This window comes from Homo sapiens, chromosome 4 (genome assembly GCF_000001405.40).
Source record: "Homo sapiens chromosome 4, GRCh38.p14 Primary Assembly".
NCBI classification, from domain to species: Eukaryota; Metazoa; Chordata; class Mammalia; order Primates; family Hominidae; genus Homo; species Homo sapiens.
Genome location: NC_000004.12, coordinates 185,414,196 through 185,430,871, shown reverse-complemented (window position 1 = coordinate 185,430,871; position 16,676 = coordinate 185,414,196). Strand labels below are relative to the sequence as shown.

The 16,676-nt window shown below is 39.9% G+C and overlaps 2 protein-coding genes across 14 annotated transcripts in view, besides 2 other annotated features; one reads left to right on the top strand and one right to left on the bottom strand.

The window, feature by feature from the left end:
- Nucleotides 1-16,676, bottom strand: part of CFAP96 (cilia and flagella associated protein 96) — a 41,393-nt gene that overhangs the window by 18,955 nt on the left and 5,762 nt on the right. For 2 of the 11 annotated variants that reach the window (XM_017008240.2, XM_047415722.1), the window contains exons 1-2: nt 3,626-4,618; nt 1,361-1,541 (exon numbers count right to left, since the gene is read on the bottom strand). In XM_017008240.2, the coding sequence (XP_016863729.1) occupies nt 1,361-1,460 (100 nt within the window). In that variant the 5' untranslated portion in view covers nt 1,461-1,541; nt 3,626-4,618. Of the gene's footprint in view, nt 1-1,360; nt 1,542-3,625; nt 4,619-16,676 lie in introns of those variants that run through there. The other 9 variants (XM_011531989.3, XM_047415721.1, XM_047415718.1 and 6 more) reach the window with 6 other exon arrangements.
- Nucleotides 4,605-4,964: an enhancer, noted in NCBI's record as "active region_22261". NCBI's record gives its function as "activates an Ori minimal core promoter by ATAC-STARR-seq in GM12878 lymphoblastoid cells {active_cell/tissue: GM12878}" and the evidence as "EXISTENCE:reporter gene assay evidence [ECO:0000049][PMID:35858748]".
- The window catches only part of UFSP2 (UFM1 specific peptidase 2), a 26,428-nt gene continuing 14,659 nt past the window's right edge, over nt 4,908-16,676 (top strand). For 2 of the 3 annotated variants that reach the window (NR_144317.2, NM_018359.5), the window contains exons 1-6: nt 4,908-5,006; nt 8,309-8,387; nt 12,102-12,285; nt 12,365-12,431; nt 15,005-15,162; nt 15,525-15,717. Coding sequence is in view for 1 of the 3 variants with exons in the window: in NM_018359.5 (NP_060829.2) it covers nt 5,004-5,006; nt 8,309-8,387; nt 12,102-12,285; nt 12,365-12,431; nt 15,005-15,162; nt 15,525-15,717 (684 nt within the window). In the remaining 2 variants the exon portion in view is untranslated. The remainder of the gene's footprint in view (nt 5,007-8,308; nt 8,388-12,101; nt 12,286-12,364; nt 12,432-15,004; nt 15,163-15,524; nt 15,718-16,676) is intronic. The other variant, NR_028085.2, reaches the window with a different exon arrangement.
- Nucleotides 5,035-5,144: an enhancer, noted in NCBI's record as "active region_22260". NCBI's record gives its function as "activates an Ori minimal core promoter by ATAC-STARR-seq in GM12878 lymphoblastoid cells {active_cell/tissue: GM12878}" and the evidence as "EXISTENCE:reporter gene assay evidence [ECO:0000049][PMID:35858748]".

Below are 16,676 nucleotides of genomic sequence, written 5' to 3'. Positions count from 1 at the left end.
GACTGGAATGCAGTGGTGAGACCATGGCTCACTGCAGCCTCAACCTCCTGGGCTTAACTTCCTGCCGCAGCCTCCCAAGTAGCTGAGACTATACGGGCAGGACACCATGCCCAGCTAATTTTTGTATTTTTTGTAGAGACAGGGTCTCACTATGTTGTCCAGGCTTGTCTTGAACTCCTGGCATCAAGCAATCCTCCTGCCACCACCTCCCAAAGTGCTGGGATTACAGCTGTGAGCCACCACACCTGGCCAACTTAAATTTTTGAAAAGGTAATACATTCAAATAGTTCCAAATTCAAAAGTATAAACATTTTCACAAGAAGTCTTCTCCTATACTTGGCCACCCAATTCTTCTTCCACAGGCAAAGAGATAATCATTTTGTTTCCCAAAGAATGTTCAGGTATGTTCAAGTGAATATTTTCATAGATATCCTTTTTCATTTTTTTAAATGCTGTCTCAGAAGAATCACATTGTTCATGCTGAGCACACTATATAGACTATTCTGCACCTTGCTTTTTTTATTTAACAATGTATCTTCGAGATATCTCCAAATCAGTGTTTTATTTTGTATTATTATGTAGAAGTAATTGGATATCCAAAAATTGAACTGAGACATTTAAATATTTATGTATATTAGCTCTTTTTATTATTTATGACTTTTGTAAAAATCCCTCAGCCATTCACTTAGCATTTCATTTCTCAGGAAGGTAACAATGGATGGCCTTCTTGGACGCAAATGTAAATGCTGTTTGCATAGGGGAGTGTCCCATCTAACCAAAATATTCTGGGAGAAAACTGCCAGGCACCTTTGAAAAGAAATCAAATTACCTATGAGGACAATAAATTAGGATAGAATACCCTAATAAAACGAGATTCCTATTCTCATAAAATCACCTTCTTGCTGGGTGCTGTGGCTCATGCCTCTTAACCCCAGCACTACGGCACGCTGAGTGGGGAGGGTCTCTTGAGGTCAAGAGTTCAAGACCAGCCTGGGCAACATAGTGAGAGCTCCCCCGCCCTACTCCACAAAGTATTTAAAAATTAGCTGGGCATGGTAGTGTGTGCCTGTAGACTCAGGAGGCTGAAGATGGGAGGAACCCTTGAGCCCAGGAGTTTGAGACTGCAGTGAGCTATAATCAGGCCACTGGCACTCCAGCCTGGGTAACAAAGATCCTGTTTCTAAATAAATAAATAAATGATATCGCTTAACTTCATTGAAATTTTACACGTTAACAAACTTTAGAACTAAATGCTTTAAAATATAAACCATTAAAAAATCATTTGACTTAAATATTAAATTCTAAATTTTATATAGAAAATACCCACTATTCGTCCATAGAGAAAAGCAAATATACTTACGATTAAATTGTGACACATATTTATCACCCACAGTAATATATTCCATCTCACTAAAGAGGCCAATCCTTTCCATGTCCGTTTTTCCTCCTTCCGCAGGCATGGTGGCGTCTGGTGGTGGTACTCTCTATACCGCTAACTTCAAAAGTTTCCCTAGGGTCACGTGTTTTATAGCAAAGTCCTACTTTACATTGAAAATAAAAATAAAGGGGAAAAGTTTAGAAAAAAGTGGTTACTAATTTCCAGTTCTAATTACTTTCAGTCTGAGAGTTTAAGGTTTACTACAAAACAATAGCCTCATACTCCATGGGGAAAGAACCTACTCTGCGGGGTGGGGGAGAATACTGGGATTCAAAATTCTCCAGATGAGCCCTCCCCCTTGACTCTCCGTATGAAGTGCTCACAAATTACAAAGGAATGTACAAGATCTCATCGATTACACTGCCATTTATCTGTTGGAAATGATAAAATTATTACTGTACGGTGTATTATAAACAAATCCTTCTTTTGAGAAGTTCAGGGTAGATTTTAAAATCATAATTATATAAGGCAGACATTTTTACAGTTTAAATACAATGATTTCAGCATCCTGCATTGTCCCTTATGTTGAAAATATAACAGCTTTTCAGGATGTACAACACATTGAGGTATTACCCTACAACTCTTGAGGTTTTTTTCAAGTTTAAATAAACATAATAAGTGTGTCACTGGCAAAATTATAAAGGGAATGGGGAAGAGAACAATTATTTAGGCAAGATAAAAACGAGAACAAAAACAAAAATTCTACAATGAATTCTGAGTATTTGTTAACAGGTATACTTCAACTCTGAGCTTTCTTTGGAAATGACCACTTCAAACAAAGGTGAAATATTAAACATGCAACTCTTTATTTAGAAATTAATTGTTTTAAGACAGAGTCTCTTTTTTTTTTGTTGTTGTTGTTGTTTTTTTTTTTTTTAGACAGTCCCAGGCTGGAGTGCAGTGGCATGTTCTTGGCTCACTATAACCTCCGCCTCCCAGGTTCAAGCGATTCTCCTGCCTCAGCCACCTGAGTAGCTGGATTACAGACACGCGCCACCATGCCCAGCTGTTTTTGTATTTTTAGTAGAGACAGGGTTTAACTATGTTGGCCAGGCTGGTCTCGAACTCCTGGCCTCAAGTGATCCACCCACCTCGGCCTCCCAAAGCGCTGGGATTACAGGCATGAGCCACCGCGCCCGGCCAGAAATTAATTTCTAATAGTAGACATGTTATTTTTAAAAAGGAAGAGGCCCAAGGAGCTAAGAATACTTACCTCTATCCCATTCTAAAGTTTTTAAAGCACCAATTATGAGCTAAGCACTGGGCATACATAAGTGAAGAAAACAAACATTGGGTTAGTCCTCACAGTTTGTAATCCAAAGTAAGAACCATTTTTTTTTTTTTTTTGAGACAGAGTTTCGCTCTTGTAGCCCAGGATGGAGTGCAATAGCGCGATCTCGGCTCACTGCAACCTCCGCTTCCCAGGTTCAAGCGATTCTTCTGCCTCAGCCTCCCAAGTAGCTGGGATTACAGGCGTCTGCCACCACGCCCAGCTAACTTTGTATTTTTTAGTAGAGACGGGGTTTCACCATGTTGGCCAGGCTGGTCTTGAACTCCTGACCTCAGGTGATCCACCTGCCTCGGCTTCCCAAAGTGCTGGGATTACAGGAGTGGGCCACCGCGCCCGGCTGGTAAGAACCTTTTACCTTAAATTTATTTATTTCTTTGCTTATTAAGATGGAGTCTCGCTCTGTCGCCCAGGCTGGAATGCAGAGGCGCTATCTCAGCTCACTGCAACCTCCGCCTCCTGGGTTCAAGGAATTCTCCTGCCGCAGCCTCCCAGGTAGCTGGGACTACGGGCACCTGCCACCACGCCCGGCTGATTTTTGTATTTTTAGTAGAAACGGGGTTTCACCATGTTGGTCAGGCTGGTCTCAAACTCCTGACCTCAAGTGATTCACCTGCCTCGGCCTCCTAAAGTGCTGGGATTTCAGGCGTGAGCCACCGCGCCCGGCCTTTTACCTTAAATTTAAAGCAAGCTGTTTGAGTGCCTCTCTGCAAGCCTGCCTGAAACTGGCTCACCTGAGCATGAATCATTGCTAATACGTAACACCAAAGGGGCAAGTGAAGATTCATTTTAAACTGAAACATAACTAAATACAACGCCCTTCCCCACATCCTACCTCTTCCATTAATCAGAGATGCTTTAAAACCAAACTTCAGTCAAGATTTAGTACTTTCATTTACCTTATATTTCAAAGCTCCACGGCACAAGGGCAGGAGCTGAGACAGGTTCCTCCCTCTCACGGTATCCCCGCATCTGCGCAGCTCCCGGCACACAAGCGAGCCAGGGAGGAGGGAGGGAAGAAATTCTTGCCTAGAACTTTCCCATCACTTAACTTTTTTCTTATTAATTTTTTTTTTTTTTTGAGACGGAGTCTCTCTCTGTTGCCCAGGCTAGGAGTGCAGTGGAGCTGTCTTGGCTCTCTGCAGCCTCCGCCTCCCGGGTTCAAGCGATTCTCCTGTCTCAGCCTCCCGAGTAGCTGGGACTACAAGCACCCGCCACCATGCCCGGCTATTTTTTTTTTTTTTTTTTTTTTTTTTTTTTTTTTTTGGTATTTTTAGTAGAGACAGGGGTTTCACCATTTTGCCCAGGCTGGCCTCGAACTCGTGAGCGCAGGTGATGCGTCTGCCTTGGCCTCCCAAAGTGCTGGGATTACAGGCGTCAGCCACCGCGCCCGGCCCGCCACTACTTAACTCTTATTGAGCAACATTTACAAAATTATTCATTCACTTATTTAACAGATATTCTGCAATCCCCTTCGGGGCAAGCTTGCTGGTAGAAACTAGAAACAGATTTAAGAAGGCATAGATGCTGCCCGCAAGGAGCTTACAATCTATTAGACAAGAAAATAGAGCATAGCCGAATTATGGCACGTTCCCTTGCAAAAGGTACGGATGGAGCGTCAGGAGAGGTGAAGAAGGGGCAGAAAACTGGAGGAGGTGATGAGGAGTCTGTTTCCCAGAGAGGAAACGGAGGCTGGGAGGTGGCAGGTATCTAAGGGGCAACACCTGGCGTCCGCGAGGACCAAGTCACCTTTCTTGAGGACACCCACTCCGACAGCCGAGATCAGGTTGCCCCAGCTCGTCCAGGTTGCCCCAGCTTGTCCACGTTAACTGCGCTGCGGGAGCGGCGAGGGTTCCCAAGCGCGCGACACGCCTGGGCTGCGCAGCGCCTCTGCACGTTCCACCACAGCTGGCGTTTATTGTGTGATGTGTTGCCCCGGGTACGGGAGAATCCATTCCAAGCACGCTGTGGGAGGATACGAGGAGATTCGAATCCGCATCGAAGAACACACAGAAGGATGTGTGAGCTTCTGTAGGACAGAAAAGACTTAACTAATAGAATTTACCAAACATAAGTCTTCGGCTACCCGCCCCGCCTCGCCGTCCGCGAGGGACTGCGGTGTGGTACGCTCCGTGACGTCATGCCGCCGAGCATGTCGGGAGTTGTAGTTGGTCCGCCCGGGCCCCGCCCCTGGGCCGTGCGGTGACACCACTTCAGGGCCGGCCCCCGGAACTTTTGGGCAGGCGTCAGCGCCCGTGTCACCGCCACGTCGCGGACATGGTGAGTATCTCTGCTCGTCACCGACCCCTGTGTTTTTCCCCGGACTTTGGCAGCCGCCACGAGCGGGCTTCACAGCGCCTGAAAGGAGCTGGTCCTGCCGGGGTCCAAGATGGCAGCTGCGAGCTGCGTGGGCAGGGCGGCTCTCCAGTTCGCCTGTCTCCGCGCTGGGCCGGGGGGAAAGTGCCCTACACAAGTGTGCACCCCGCCTCGGCCACCTTGGACACGCACCCCCTGCTACTTCTCTGTGTGAAAGTATTTTGAGAGACTTCGGCGTTTTTGAAGCCTTGCAAGAAGGGCTTAACCTGGGACAGGCGCAACTTTCTTCGGATATTATATTCCCCTAGTTCCCGTGGTATTTCCCTCCCCTGGTTTCTCTCCTGTCTCATTGCTCAGCAAGGTTCTCCAATCCCTATCCTAAATGGTGGTGCTCTTCAGGGACGCTTTACACCCTATGCGTTCTCCTAAAATTTTATCTCTAAGTTAGACCTTTCTTCTGAGCTCCAGACCCACAAATCTGCTAACCGTGCCTCCACTTGGATAGCTCATATGTATTTCAAGCTCAGCAAGTTCCAAACTGAGCATTTCCACTTCCCCACAGCCCACACCTGCTCTTCCTCCAGGAACCCCCAACTCTGTAGATGGCACCACCATACATCCTGTTGTGCCTGCCCAAAACCTGGAAATCATCCTTGACATCTCCCTCTTCTCAACTCCCCGACATGCAGTCAATAATCAAGTCCTATAGATGCTACTTCTAAATGTCTGTCTGTTGTCACTGTCGCCACTCTTACCATCCTTGGCCTTGAGATCTATCCATCTGGGGTAGTCACCTAAGTGGTCTTTTAAGCAGATCTTCACTCATCGATGGCCCTGCCTGGAATGGGCTATTGCACCTTCACTCACCCTTCAGATCTCAGCCTCAGTATTATTTCTTCAGAGAGTATCTCAGCTAATTCGGAAGTCTAGGAAGACTAGTGCTTTTATGAATGATGTCTTGTGGAATCTTCATAACAACCCTGGGAAGTTGTGTATTTTTCCAGTTTTACAGAAGAGAAACAGACTTAAGTGATAAGTTAAATTGTGTAAAATTGTACAGTAAGTAGCAGAGTTAAAATTTGTTCTTTCCTGTCTAACTTTTATCTTCAGTATCTTTAAATATTTTTTATTTAAATGGGTACATACTAGTTTGTTTGGTAGTATTCTTTATTTAACTGATTTCTTATTAATAGCTATTTAAGTGGTTTCCATTTATTTTTCTGTGATGAACAACGGTAGAATAAATGGACAACATGAAGCTAAATTTGTCCTGAACTTTCTTGATTGTTTCCTTAGAATAAATTCTCAGAAGTAGAATTGGGACAAAGGGTATATGATCTTTCAAAAGATTACAATTTTAGAATAAATAAAAACAGTGACCCTTATAGAAATGTGACAAAGGATTTGTAAAATGAGAAAAACTGTATTGGTACCTATTTAATACTGTTCTGAGGATTGGAGTAAGTATGTATGTTTAGCATAGTGCCTTTTACATGTTTTTGTTTTATTTTATTTTGTTTTTTGGAGACAAGATCTTGCTCTGTTGCTTAGGCTGGAGTGCAGTGGTGTGATCATGGCTCACTGTAGCATTGACCTCCCCGGCCCAAGCAGTCCTCCCACCTTAACCTCCCGAGTAGCTGGACTACAGGTGCAGACCACCACACTCAGCTAATTTTTTTTTTTTTTTTTGGTAGAGATGGGGGTCTTCCTATGTTGCCCAGTCTGGTCTCTAACTCCTGGGCTCAAAGTGATCCTCCTGCCTCTGCCTCCCAAAGTGTTGGGATTACAGGCGTGAGCCACTGCACCCTGCCTGTGTTTTACATTTGAAGAGCTCAGTAAATGTTAGTACTTATTCATTTATTTCAAAATAGGGGTCTTAGTGTGTACTATGGTTCTTCAGCCTGTTTGAGAGATATGTTTTGAGAGTCTCATGAAATTTTTGAAACCTCTTCCCAAAAGAAATCTCCCGCTCTCTTTCTCCCTTCCTGTCTCTTTCTCTCGTGTGTGTGTGTGTGTATATATGTATGTATATATGTATGAATATGTGTATCTGTGTGTGTATATATGTGTACACAAACAATGATACATGTCATTTGTGATATATCATCAACTACCTGAAACAGTATATGGATCCAAGTAAAGAACTGATTAGTTCCATTTTGCAAGTGCTCTTTTCCCTTTATAAGTTGTAAGCATTGTCCTGTGCCTTTTAATTTTCAGCAAAAACATGATTTTTTTATGGCTATATGATATTCCTATTTTTTTTAACCAATCTATTGTTGGCAGTTAGGTTAATATCCATGTACCCGAATCTTTGTGTGTTTTTCAGATTTTTCTTAGACTAAGTCTGAGATTCTAAATGCATATCACTAGATCAAGCCTATGAATATAAACCTTTGATTCTTACTGCCATATTCTCTGAAGGATTCCACCAGTTGATATCCCACCCTCAGTATGAGTTTCCTCTCATTGTCTTGACTCCCTGGTATTATATTAGGTTCAGTGCCTTGTCACATTCTTAAACTAGTTCTTTACTGTTGATGTTTTATTGTCATTGTTAAACCTGTCAAGATTATAATTTGGAAAGATTGTCTTAAAGCAGTAGTTCTCAACCATTCACATTAGAATCACTGGCATGGGGGCATAGGATACTTTTAAATATCCCTGTGCCAGCTGGGCGCGGTGGCTCACGCCTGCAATCCCAGCACTTTGGGAGGCCGAGACAGGCGGATCACTTGAGGCCAGGAGTTCAAGACCAGCCTGGCCAATATTCTGAGATCCCGTCCTTACTAAAAATACAAAAATTAGCCAGGCGTGGTGGTGTATGCCTGTAATCTCAGCTACATGGGAGGCTGAGGCAGGAGAATCTCTTACACCCAGGAGGCGGAGGTTGCAGTGAGCTGAGATTGTGCCACTGCACTCCAGCTGTGTGACAGAGTGAGACCCTGTCTCCAAACAAAAAACCAAAATCCCTGTGCCTAGGCCTTAGACCAGTTAATCAGAATCTCTGGGGGTACAGCCCAGGCCTCAGTATTTCAAGCTCCCCAGGTGATTTCAGTATAGAACAAAGGTTGAGAACCCCTGATTTAAAATTTTGGGGTTGCTTTTGTTTTTGTTTTTTCTATAAAACAAGGAATTAACTCATGAAATAATTTGAAGAATCAAGGTTAATTAATGTCTTAACACTAAACTTAGATTCTAATTTATATGAATATGAGTTTGTTTTGTTTTACAAGGGAGTTTGTCTTTATCTTTATTTGTTCTAGGTGATTTCAGAAAGTATGGATATACTCTTCAGAATAAGAGGAGGCCTTGATTTGGCTTTTCAGCTAGCTACTCCTAATGGTAGGTCTTCTGAAAAATTCTTTTTTATTAGAAAATTGATAGTGAAATATACTGAGATTATTTCCACTTTGCAAATGAAACTGAGAGAGAGATAGGATGAACTAAGATTATATTGTTAGTAAGTACATTAAATGGGACTTACACTTAGACACTGTGTTCCAGCACACCCACCAGCCCATGGCGCACCTCTGTGCAAATTAGAAAAAGATGTTCCCTTTCTTAAGAGACTTTACTCCCCTCTTCATTAATTGTTACAATAAATGTAAATATCCACAATGAGCACGTTGTAAATGTGCGTCGAGAATTGTACATGACAGACTTGCAAGTGTATGTACAATCCTGAGTCTCCAGAACCTACTCTCTTAAATACTACATTATATGGGGATGAGTACAAGAACTCTATGGAAGAAAAATCAACAGGGTTTATATGAAGCAGATTCTAGGATGTCTTCCTGTTGCTGACTTGAACTACAGCCACAAACTGAGATAAAGAACATCAGAGGAGGAATGGGATGAGCTGTGTTTGAGATTTGTTTCATTTGATGCCAGTGGAAGGTCAAGTACAAATTCCCAACAGGCATTTGGCTGAGTCAGAAATTTAGAAGAGTGTGGTCAGAGTTGGAGCTAGAGAATGTAATGTCTCTGAAGGGTGATAGTTAACACCCTCATTATAAATGAAATCACTCATGAAAAGTACGAGTAGTGGTGCCAGAAGCCACAGAGCCGTTCAGAAAGATCAGGAATTAAAAGTACTGTATTAGTCTGTTTTGCATCTTTCTAAAGGAATACCTGAGACTGGGTCATTTATAAAGAAGAGGTTGATTTGGCTCACAGTTCTGCAGACTGTACAAAAAGCATGGTGCCAGCATCTGCTGCTGGTGAGGCTCAGGAAACTTTCAATCATGGTGGAAGGCAAAGGAGGGGGCAGTGTATCACATGGCAAAAGAAGGAGCAAAAGAGAGGAGGAGGTGCCAGGCTCTTTTAAAGAATCAGCTCTTTTGTGAACTGATAGGAGTGAGAACTCACTCTTATTACTGTGAGGATGGCACCAAGCCATTCATGAGGGATCATGATTCAAACACCTCCCACCAGGCCCCACTTCAAACATTGGAGATCACATTTCAACATGAAATTTGGAGGGGACAGACATCAAAACTATATCAGATACCAGCATTCCTTGAAGGAGATTGCAGCTGGCCATCCTTTACTAGCCCCGTGGAAGGGAGGGAGAGGGTGCAGAATATTCTTTTCCACCCATCCCTTCAACTAATAAATTGTTCTCAGTTTTGGTCCACATTTGAATCCCTGCCACCAGACTACATTAAACTACATTTCTGGGACAGAGACCCAGGCATCAGTCAGCTTTCTAGGTAATTCTAATGTGCCATTAAGATGAGAACCATTTTACTAGGACTAAATCACTCATTTTCAGGCCTATGTTATTAGTAGAGTGTAGCTGTTCCTAAAATGTTACTTTATGGATAAAACCTTACATTTCACAACTTGATATAAACTGAAAACATACTTTACTATAATCTTATTCCAAAGTAGAATTAATCCATTAATCAGTAGATAATCCAATAATCAAATGTAAACAAGGACTACAGATACTTTTTACCTAGTAATTAATATATTTGAACTTGTCTTCTGACTTGATTGTATTCCTTCTCCTTTATCAAACTCTGTCAACACTCAACAAAGGGCTTCTCATTAATCAGAAAATATAGAGAATGGACATGCTTAACTTTAAAGGCTTCACAGTTTTTTTTAGGTAACTTTACCAAATAGTCCTTTAGGGATAAACAGAAGCTAATTTAAGAATTATGTTTGTCTTTTGTAGTGCAACTGAAAATCTTTAAATTCTGCTTTCTGAAACATATCAAAATATTTTAATATCTGATTTGTTATGAGTAATCTCTACAATAGCTCCAAAGTATTTATTTATCAAGATACCAGTATGGTCGTTGTTTATTTATTTATTTTTTAAATACTCTTTCAGCAGAATCAGGTCATTGAATAAATATTTACAAGGTTAAATAGGCTTAGGATTTAGGAATGTAAGGCTAAGATGAGTATTGAAAGATTGTCTTCTTTGACTATATCTTCTTATATTGTTTTGACTTTGGAAACGTAAAAATGTTTCCAAATTGAATGTGTCAAATATTCAAAAATATTAAAATACTCTAATTTTTTGAATATTCAAACATATTTTTTAAAAAGTCTATTAAAAGGAAATCCTTGAAAACAAAAACAAACTAAAGCAAATATGTTGGTGACATAACCATACAGAGGAAAAAAAAACCAACCGTGACTTTAGAACACAGAGCTTTGATTATATAGGCCTAGTGGGATATAGTCCAAAGAGAAAAAGAACTAAGAGGTTTAAATTTCACTCAATAGTTTTATTGCTATAAGTAATACATTATTTTAATAGTAATTGGAATCCTTATAGATTACTGATGGGAATATAAAATGGTGCGGCTGCTGAAAACAGCTTGGCAGTTCCTGAAAGTGTGAAATAGAGAGTTGCCATGTGATTCAGAAATTCTATTCTAGGTGATCACCCAAGAGAATTGAAAACACATCCACACAGAAACTGAACTTATGCACAGATGTTCATGGCAGCATATATATGATAGCCAAAAAGTGGAAACAAATGTGCATCAATTTATGAATGAATAACAAAATTGGTGTATCCACACAATGGAATATTATCCTGCCATAAAAAGGAATGAAGTACTGATTCATGCTACAATACAGAAGAAACATTAAGCTAAGTGAAAGAAGCCAGACACAAAAAGCCATGTAATGTGTGATTCCACTTATGTGAAATGTCCACAGCAGGCAAATCCATAAAGAAAAAAGTAGGTTAATAATTGCCATGGGTAGTATGCTGAAATTCTTTTCATTTTGCAAAGGAAGCTGGATGAGAGATAAAAACTGTGAGATCATATAGTTAGTAAGTGGATTGAATGGGATTTAAACTTGGATATTGTGTTCCAGCACCCCCACCAGGCCATGGGGTACCATGTGCAAATTAGAAAAGATGTAGGAGGGCCAGGCGCGGTGGCTCATGCCTGTAATCCCAGCACTTTGGGAGGCCGAGGCGGGTGGATCACGAGGTCAGGAGATCGAGACCATCCTGGCTAACGTGGTGAAACCCCGTCTCTACTAAAAATACAAAAATTAGCCAGGTGTGGTGGCGGGCACCTGTAGTCCCAGCTACTCGGGAGGCTGAGGCAGGAGAATGGCGTGAACCCGGGAGGCGGAGCTTGCAGTGAGCCCAGATCGCGCCACTGCACTCCAGCCTGGGCGACAGAGCGAGACTCCATCTCAAAAAAAAAAGAAAAGATGTAGGAGGTAAATCAGAAAATTTTCAATTAGAGAAAAGTAGGGGGAATGAGAAACGACTGCTGGTAGGTACAGGGTTTCTTTTTGGAGTGATGAAAATGTTCTAGAATTAGTGATCATTATGAAACCTTATGAATATACTAAAAGCCCTAAATTGTTTGCTTTAAAAGAATGAATTTGATGGTCTGTGAATTTTGTCTCACAGACTTTTTTAAAAAGATAGGCAAAAAATTTTGAAATTATTATTGAATATGGGGAATAGGTATTGAGAGTTTTACTATGCTCTACTTTTGTGTATGTTTGGAACCATTCATGTTGAAAAATTTGTTTTTCTTAACTTCTATTTATATTCTTTTAATTTAGAAATTTTTCTCAAGAAGGCACTGAAACATGTGTTGAGTGACCTGTCAACTAAGCTGTCTTCAAACGCCCTTGTGTTCAGAATTTGCCACAGTTCAGTGTATATATGGCCTAGCAGTGACATAAACACCATTCCTGGAGAACTGACTGATGCTTCTGCTTGTAAGAACATACTGCGCTTTATTCAGTGAGTATGTTTGAAGATTTCTAGAAATGTTTTCAAAACATCATTTCATATTATAAATGTCTGTGTATTAAAAATTTAGATTTGAGCCAGAAGAAGATATAAAAAGAAAATTCATGAGAAAGAAGGACAAAAAGTTATCAGACATGGTAAGCAAACTATCTGTCTTCTGTACTGATAAAAATGTTAAATCTTTGGATTTGGAACTGAGTGCAATCTTAGAAATAATTTAACCCTCTTATCATAGGTCAGAATATTGATGTCCAAAAAGATTAAATGACTTGCCAAAAGTTATATGTTTGTCTTACTTATCTAAGTTTTTGTCTGATTATAATACATAATCTCAAAAGGGTTTTTTTATAATGCTTTCTTTGCTCCCACAAAAATAAAACAGCCTAAATACATTTATAAATTACTTAAATTAAATCGCATTCTGAATCATGACAAAGTGACACATTGTGCCACATAAGACAAATAGTAAATGATTTATTTTTCTTCACACTACTCTTGGTTCTGTTGTTTGTGTGTGTGTGTGTGTGTGTTTTGAGATGGAGTTTCACTCTTTTTACCCAGGCTGGAGTGCAGTGGCACGATCTCGGCTCACTGCAACTTCCGCCTCCCGGGTTCAAGTGATTCTCCTGCCTCGGCCTCCTGAGTAGCTGGGATTACAGGCACCTGCCACCATGCCCAGCTAATTTTTGTATTTTTAGTAGAGATGGGATTTTACCAGGTTGGCCACGCTGGTCTCAAACTCCTGACCTCGGGCGATCCACCTGCCTCAGGCTCCCAAAGTGCTGGGATTACAGGTGTGAGCCACCGCGCCCGGCTGGTTCTGTTGATTTTTGAACTGATATTACTGAGTACCTGCCATGTGCCACAAACTTTAACAGATATTGAAGATAGAAAATGGAGATGCGTCTTCAAGGCACGAAGTTGTATGAAGTTAATGTGACGACAGTGTTTCCAGGCTGGTAGAGGAAGAATGGGTGGACATAAGGCTGGAGAGGTGGGCGTGGGCCTCTTTAGAAGAGGCCTAACTAAACCACTAGCTATGGAAATAGAGAAGAGGGATTGCATACAAGAGATATTTAGGGATACAATGGATTCTGCTTGGAAACTAACTGGCAAGATCAGTTTCTTGTGTGGGTAAAGATGGAAGGTGAGGAGGACATGAAGTTGGTTTGGGCCATGTTTAAGACCTCAGTAAGATGTACAGATGAGCTGTTAGATTTACAGATGTAGAATGCATAAAATAATTGTGGGCTGGATACAATGATTTGAAAATTACCAGTAATTGGAGCTTGACATTTTGAGGGGTACAGGTGAGTTCTTTTTAAGACTGTCCCTCCTTTTGGATTTGTTTTATGCTTCCTTGTTATTAGAGTTAGGTCATGCACTATTGGCAGGAATACCACAGAAGTGATGTTGTGTCCTCAGCACATGGTATGAAAGAGACAGTTATCAGTCTGTTGCTATTATTGGTGAGGTTAACTTCACTTACTTAAGATGGTATCCACCAGTTTTCTCCATGGTAAAGGTACTATTTTTTCCCTTATAATTAGTATCTTGTGGGAAGAAACTACATATGTATCTTACTTTAGTCCTCATCAGATTTTGACCCACCACTTTTAGCATCCATTGATAATTTCTGCCAGAATCCAATATTAATCTGGTGATTACAAAGTGGTGATTTTTCTAAATCTGTCATTTCCTTTTGTATTATCTGCCATAGATGCTTATTTTATGCAGTGGTTTATAATCTGGTACTATCATTAGTTATTTTGATGCTCACATTTTCCAAGATTTGGCCAATAGAAGTTTCTTCAAGCTGGCTCCAGTGCCTTTCTAACATTGTAATTTTGGGCACTTCCTACCCATCAGATGTTCCAGGTGCAACATGTGCTTTCTCTGTTCTAGCTGGAGAATCAGTCATTTTTCCATGGGCACACACTTTTATACTTTTATACTATCCACACACACACATAACACGTTCATTTTTATCTGTGTAAATCACATTGATACCTCCAGTTCCACTTCAACCCTAGAGTGCTTGACCTTTTCCCAGTGAGAAGTCTGACTCCCAGGATCCTCAGTATTTTGCGAAATAAGTTTAGTGTAAATTTCACAATTGTTCATACCCCTGTAAAAATCAAACCTACAAAGTAGAGTTCAGTATTTGATTATAGTTATTTATGTATTAGACCAGGGGTATATAGTTATATGTTTAAAAGTTCCTTTGGTGTGTGGTTATTTTATGTTAATTTGATTTTCTAAACATTTTAAATCAGTACAAAAGTGGAGAGAATCATGTAACGAACCCCAGTGAACCTATGCGTGGCTTTAACGTTTATTCATGGCCAGTCTGATTTCATCTTTACTTCTTAATCCCTCTCCCCATGTTATTTTGAAGCAGAAAATAATTTCTTTTTAAAATAATATTTGTGCTTTTAATCTTTTTACTGTAGTACAGCTTTATATTCTGTCCTTTAAAAGTCCTTCTACTGGCTGGTCTGAGGGTAGTGAGTTATCTCAGTTGATCATTCACAGCCAGTTACAGATTGAACTCCTTGTTCTCTACTCTTTCCCCCTTTTCACTACTGTACTTGGCTAGTCTTAAATTTTTTTCTTAATAATAAATACATTTTTGAAAAGTCTTTTTACTTACTCTTTATATTTAGTGTTTAATGCACTACAAGTTGACTATTACTGTTTATCTATATAGCATCAAATAGTAAATATAGATCTTATGCTGGAAATGTCAACCTCCCTGGCAGCTGTAACGCCCATCATTGAAAGGGAAAGCGGAGGACACCATTATGTTAATATGACTTTACCTGTCGATGCAGTTATATCTGTTGCTCCAGAAGAAACATGGGGAAAGTAAGTATTTTTATAGTACCACTGCCACATTTGAATGAGGGCCCTTCCCCAAACCCATGTTTGTATATCCTGTAGGTATACCTAAGGTGTGATTTTCTCCTTGTTTATTATTAACCTAAGAGCCATCTATTAATTAAATGGTTATTTGGAGGAAGTAGGGTAGCATGCTAAAACCTGGAGGATTTCCCTTTATCCACAAAGAGCAAATACACAGTTTCTTTTATAATGTATAATTCAGACTTCCTTTAGCAAACCTGGTCCAATCAAGTTTTTTACTATACTAAGGATATATTAGCTCTGTACTTTTCTTTATTGTAGTCACTATAACTTTTGTTAATACACTTATATATTTCCCCCCACAGAGTTCGTAAACTCCTGGTTGATGCAATTCATAATCAACTAACTGACATGGAAAAATGTATTTTGAAATATATGAAAGGAACATCTATTGTGGTCCCTGAACCACTGCACTTTTTATTACCAGGGAAAAAAAATCTTGTAACAATTTCATATCCTTCAGGAATACCAGATGGCCAGCTGCAGGCCTATAGGAAGGTAAAACCAGTTCATCTATTCTTAGAAAAAACAATAATGACTATCATTCATTTTGTATTTAATTATATATTTCCACTAAATGGAAGGTATTTTGTGATTTAACTTAAAAGTGTGGAATTTAGACTATTCATTTTACACATTATTTAATTTCTGTTCTCATGAAACTTTAAGTAGTATTAATGACAAAATGTTATGTTGAACCTATATGTAACATTTTAATTTTAAATGCTCGGTGTGGTTCATATATTCTGTGAAATTTTAATATTTTTCCATAATGAAATATAGAAATGGTGCTTACATGCCTAAAGTTGCTGGTATTAACAGATTTCTATAACTTTCCGATTTGTGAAAGAGACAAGATTACAGTTAGGGAAGGAAAATGATAACTTATGCTAATTCTGAATAGGATTTATGGTAATACTCCACAAGTAAGGTTATTTGGGCTTTATTAGAGGAATTTTGGAGAAAACATGACCAGCATTCAAAGTAATGAGATTTACTCATGACTGGTTTTGGAGTGCATCTTTTTGATATGTGGACTCGCTTAGAACCTATCAAATTAGACCGTGGAGCATCTTCCTAATTTCTGTCCTTAGGGAGAGCGAGAATACCCTGACCCTCTGTATGTGGAGGTGACTTGGTTTGTAGAAGCAATAGCTACAGGAGCTGATCTTTTAAAACCACTGGAGTACAAGATATGATAAAGAACATGTCAAACTTTTTAAAATACCTATTACATGTTTTTATATAGTTGGGAAAATAACACATTTTAAACATATATGTGTATTTGTTTTCCTGCCATATTGGTTGGCTTTAGACCACTAACTTCTACTCTGTAGTTTAATCACTACCACTTACAATATAAAATATTTGTAAGGCACTCGACACAATTTTGCAAAATACTTTGATATAATTATTGTTAATTATAATTTACTCATTTACAAGGCTATTTCAAAACC